This window comes from Homo sapiens, chromosome 8 (genome assembly GCF_000001405.40).
Source record: "Homo sapiens chromosome 8, GRCh38.p14 Primary Assembly".
In the NCBI taxonomy this organism is placed as follows: domain Eukaryota; kingdom Metazoa; phylum Chordata; class Mammalia; order Primates; family Hominidae; genus Homo; species Homo sapiens.
This window is the reverse complement of record NC_000008.11, coordinates 20,190,660-20,196,681: the sequence shown is the minus strand read 5'-3', so window position 1 is coordinate 20,196,681 and position 6,022 is coordinate 20,190,660.

Here is a 6,022-nt window from a genome sequence, read left to right as displayed (position 1 = left end):
CTTACTGCAACTTCCGCCTCCCGGGTTCAAGCGATTCTCCTGCTTCAGCCTCCTAAGTAGCTGGGATTACAGGTGCCCACCGCCACGCCCGGCTAATTTTTGTTTTTAGTAGAGACGAGGTTCTACCATGTTGGCCAGGCTGGTCGCGAACTCCTGACATCAATTGATCCCGCCGTCTTGGCATCCCAAAATGTTGGGATTACAGGCGTTAGCCACTGCACCCAGAAGATTATAATTTTTAAGTTTAACTAATGTCCAAAGTTGGCACGTGTAAAATTAAACAGGAATTGTAATACTTTACTGATAAGAGCACAATTGGTATGATATTTAGAAGAACAATTTGGTGATATCTCATTCAAATATTTTGGTACTAGGAACTTATCGTTCTCTCTCTCTGTAGATATATCTGTATCTATCTATCCACTCAGTGTATGTGACAAATATTTTCCATTATATATAATACATTACGTCATGCACCATATGGTATATATTATTATATATGGTCTACAGACATATACATGTATATATACATACACACAGATATTCAAAAAAAATTTTTGTAATAGCATAAACCTAGAAACAATCTAAATGCCCATTCATAAGTTATAGCCTATTAAGTCAAAGGTATTTCTCAAACTTTTGAAAAGAATTCAGTGGAGGCTCAAGGGTTGAGTTTTTTTTTTTAAAAAAAGTCCAAGACACATTATTAGGTTTAAAATAAAAAAGCAATTGCAAAATGCCATGTAAAGTAGATTAACATGTGAACAGTAGGAGAAATTTTATTTTTAATTTAATAATCTTTCTATGTAGTTTCACTGCTTTAACAGGTGTTTGTACTGATTTTTTCAAATACAATGCATAACAACTTTTTTAATAAAAATTACAAATCTAGTCTTCTCATGCCAATTTTTCACAATGGTAGGTAAATTTCATATGTGAATATCAGACTGTTAGTTGTTACAATTTTTATGTTATTCTTTTAGGAGTAGTTCATGGCTTTTACTTTAAAAAAAACCTGTTTTTAACTTTTTACTCTGGTAATAGAAATTAGTTGTGGTCTAATGTGTATACGTAGAGTGGTAACCCCAACATTTATTTAACAAACATCTGTTGAGAAAATGCACATGTGTATCGGGTGCTGATCTAAGTCCTGGAGATATATTTGTAAATAAACAAAGACTCTGTCATCCTGATACCTGTTGGAGGGAGAAAGTCAGAAAACAAACATGTAAATAAAGTGCCTGGTAGTGTCAAGTATGATGAAAAATAATAAAACAAGATAAAGAGAAAAGAGTGATCTAGACGAAGATAAGATTTTAGATGATGTGATCAGGGAATGCACTTCTCAGTCATCTGAGATCTGAATGGAGAGAGAAAGCAGATCATGGGAAGCTCTAAGAGATGTGTGGCATAGGCAGAGGGTTTTGCAAGTGCCAAGGTCCTGAGGCAGAAGAAGGAAAGTGGGGCTAGAATGGACACAGCTAAGCAGAGAGCAGCAGGAGAGAGGGCAGGGCCAGATCATGTACAGCTTTGGAGGCTATGCAGATAGCAGTTCGAATTATATTCTTAGAGTGATTGTAGAATTTTATGAAGGAGGAATATGATCTGATTAGGCTTTAAAGAGGCATGTTGTTCTACTGGGCAAAATATGAACTGGTGAAGAAGGCAAGAGAAAAATGGAGAGACCAGTTAGGAAGCTATTGTGATTGTCTGGGTGAGCAACATGGACTCAAACCAGATGATGGCTTTCCTACATAGCACGCTGGCCTTAGCTCTGTCACAGAGCTCATCGCAATAATGATATCATTAAAAAGTGGCCATTTATATCTTTCTCCTGCACTTTTCCATTCTGTAACCTCAGATATGGAATGGGGGATTGGCAAGGGGGATGTGGAGCACAGTGCAGCTGGGAGAAATATTTCAAATGAAAAAAACAATGATAGAGATAAGTCCAAGATTGCTGTAAAACAGGGATTATTAACTTGGCACCCTAGGAAGTCGGTGAAACGTTGTGCAAAATGTGTGCATATGGATATTTTCCGTGGAAATAACCCACAGATTTCTATCACATTGTCAAAGGAGCCTGAAACTCTTAAAGAAAACCACCAAGTAAGCATCACTGACAAATTGGGAGAGTGGTATTGCCATTTATGGAATCACAAGTGTTTAATCAAATTGCCACATGGTTGTGTCAGATAGTTGGTATCACTTGACACCGTCTCTAACTTCTCAGACAACTACATTTTTAAAAATTGTGTAATTTATTTGGATCTTACGATGGTACCTGTGCAAAGCGCAGGTAACCCAAAACTGTTAGTCAACTGAAATTCAGAGTTTCTTAGAATTATTTATAGCAATATTATATAAATGCTTTTCCTTGGGTTTAAAAAAATTATCCCCTTAATATGCAAGAAGGAAAAGGATAAATGAAGTGTTATATACATAGAAAAATACATTTAGGAAAATATAGAAAAGTTTTAGTTTCTCTAGTAATGAAGAAATTCAAACTAAGCATCACCGTTCCACCTTATCTGTTAAATTAAGAAAACTGAATGATTTTTTTTAAGTGTTGGCAGGATTCGGGGCTAAGTGTCGCACCAGCTCATTTCTGATGACTTTGGAAATTGGCCAGACCTTCTGCAAAGCAACCTGGTATAGGTTAGGGATCATAAACTTGTTCACGCACTTTGATCCAATAATTTGATTCCATGATCTCAATGATATGATTATTAACCAAAGGAATAAATGTTTATAGCTTGTTATGGCAATGCTATTCATCAGAGTGAAAGTGAAATAGTAACCTAAATATCCCATAATAGTAAACTGCACCAGTAGTGTATATTTAATAGATACTGACATGAATATGATATATAGCTGGTGGAATTCAAGTATTTGAACTCTTTATACCAAATAATATTGAGTGAAAGCTTAGCACAGATATAGACCAGTTGCAGTAGTGTAGAACATGTTTGTACATTGGTAAAAAGCAGGAAATTGTGCATTGATGCCAATAATTGATGCTGCAATTTGGAGAGAAAAATCTTTTTCTCTTCTGAAATGTGTATTAAATATCCAAAAGTCACATATACTCACACAGAGAGAGTATCAGCTGGAGGTGGGGGGGCTTGCACAGTTTTAAGGGTAAGAGGTGCTAAAACAAACTAAATATGGCCCGAGAAGGACTCTGTACTTCTATATTTGAGTCCTTGTGGATGAACTGCAACCTAACTTAATAGGTAGACAAAATTGAAAACCTAACTAGGAGTTTGCGCCTGTAACAGTAGCTGAGTCTTGGCCCATCCCAGCAGTGGTACTTCAGCTACTCATACACTGCTGAGTGTTCAAACTGTGTTCAAATAAGGCAAACACTGAGCTGTAACCAATCTAGCTCTATCTGTGCTTCACTTCTGATTTCTGTAGGTCACTTCCCTTTTTTATCTATAAATTTGTTCTGACCACGAGGCATCCCTGGAGTCTCTCTGAATCTGCTGTGATTCTGGGGGCTGCCTGATTCACAAATCATTCACTGCTCAATTAAACACCTTTAAATTTAATTCAGCTGAAGTTTTTCTTCTATCAGGGGCTTGGGGCATGGACTCTGAGGTCAGACAGACTTAGTTTAAGTCCTGAGTTGATTAGTTCTATGACTTTGAACAAAATTTATTCTCTCTAATCCTCACTTTTCTAGTTTATAAAATGAGAATAATATTATCTTCATAAAATTATTGTATTAAAAGAGATAATGCAAAGTATTTGGCAAATAGCAAAGGCTAGATATGGCTTAGCTAACATTATTATTACATGCTTTGATTTATTGATTAACAGAATATTTATGTGTTAATTAATATGTGTCAGGCTCTTCTTTTTTTTTTTTTTTTTTTTAGACGTATTCTTGCTCTTGTCAGCCAGGGTGGAGTACAATGGCATGATCTCGGCTCACTGCCATCTGCGCCTCCTGGGTTCAAGCGATTTTCCTGCCTCAGCCTGCCGAGTAACTGGGATTACAGGTGCCTGCCACCACCCAGCTAATTTTTGTATTTTTAGTAGAGACGGGGTTTCACCATGTTGGCCAGGCTGGTCTTGAACTCCTGACCTCGCGATCCGCTCACCTCAGCCTCCCAAAGTGCTGGAATTACAGGTGTGAGCCACCATGCCTGGCTGTGTCAGGCTCTTTTCTAAGAAAGAAATGATATGGCTCCTGGACTAGTTGAGTAGTTTGTATTAAGCAGCGACTGTATCTTATCATTTTCTTGTCTTCTATCTAAAGTACCTAGCAAGGTAACTTACACATAGTACTTAGTAAATATCTATTAGATAAATGAAAATGTGTTGCTTTTTTCTTAAAAATGAACAGTTGTCCACCAATCTTATTCTTCCATACGGAGGGTTCCCCGCCCCCCGCCAAGGAAGAGTCATCCTACAGATATTGTATACTGGCTATTGTCCTCCTGTTATTTGCTGAAACCATATCCTTGTTTTACTTCCAAGGAATGCAAAAATCCCAGGAATTCCCCAGCAGTAGGGAATGTGGTCAAAACATGAGACTCAGAATCACCAGCCCAGTTTCAGTGCTGACTGTCTCCTTATGCACAGTGTAACCTTGGGCCAATCCTCAACTCCTTCTGTCTTTGAATCTCCATCTGTGAGTTGGGAAGATTTCATGTCATGCCGGCTTCTCAAGAATTTAAAAAGAAGCTTCCAGAAATCAACATCTTAGATAGAAAGGCAAACTCTTATTCTTTTATTACAAATGATTATTGGGGAAGAAAAATAGAGAAGAAAGGGGTAAGAAAATCTCATGCCAGTGACTGATTTTTTTCCAGATAATGTGTATCTCTCTTTATTTGCTGGAAAATTCTAATCAAGGAAAATACTATGAAGACAAACCACAACAGATTAAATAAACAGACCTATGTGTTTCTATGTAGCAAGGCATATACCAATATAAAATCATCAGTACAACATTTTCAGCATAAGATGGGAGAGGAAGCTAATTAATTATTTATATATTTTATTATTGGTTTTTTTTGCTTTTGTTTTTGTTTTTTTTGTTTGTTTTTTTCAGTCAGAGTCTTGCTCTGTCGCCCAGGCTGGAGTGCAGTGGCATGATCTCAGCTCACTGCAACCTCCACCTCCCGGGTTCAAGCGATTGTCATGCTTCAGTCTCCTTAGTAGCTGGGATTATAGGTGCCCACCACCACACCCAGCTAATTTTTGTATTTTTGGTAGAGACAGGGTTTCTCCCTGTTGGCCAGGCTGGTCTCCAAATGCTGATCTCAGGTGATCCACCCACCTCAGCCTCCCAAAGTGCTGGGAATACAGACGTGAGTCACCGCACCTGGCTGTGTTGGCTGTTTTTAAATTCTGACCATCTGAGGCAGAGTGAGGTGTATAGGCTGGAAACTGTACTTTGACCTCCTAAAACTGAGATCTCTGGTTTTCTTCCATATCCCATATTACTTTCCTTGTCACTGGGGTCACAGATGTGTTGTCCAATAGAGGGGAAAGAGCAGAGGGTGCCCTATGATCAGAACAATGGCTACTTAAGAAGGTGATGCAAATGTTTAAATATACAGACCAAGAAGCTGATGGATGGAAGGTCTCTTACCGAGTACTGCTTTCCTGTCGCCTGGCTGTCTGAAAAGGGGACACCTGTCCTTGAAACTCCAAGTATCCTTTGTCAAAGACCCTCTTTTGTTGCCAGATCATGAGAGTCTTCTCACATCCCAAATGTTCCAACAAAAAGGAATCAGATACTTTGATTTGATGAAAAATTATTCAGACATTAAGATGGAAGCCTGGGAAAATTTTCATAACACAGTGCTGAGTACAGCATTCTATATGAAGTGGCATACACTATATGATTTGTATTATCTATTTGTGCACACATACACTTGGAAAATATTGTAAAGAAATATATACTGATATTAACAGTGACTACTCTGAGTTATGAGATGTTTTGCTTTCTTTTTTATTTTGTCACATTTTTGGCATGAACATTCATTATGCTTTTGAATCAAAA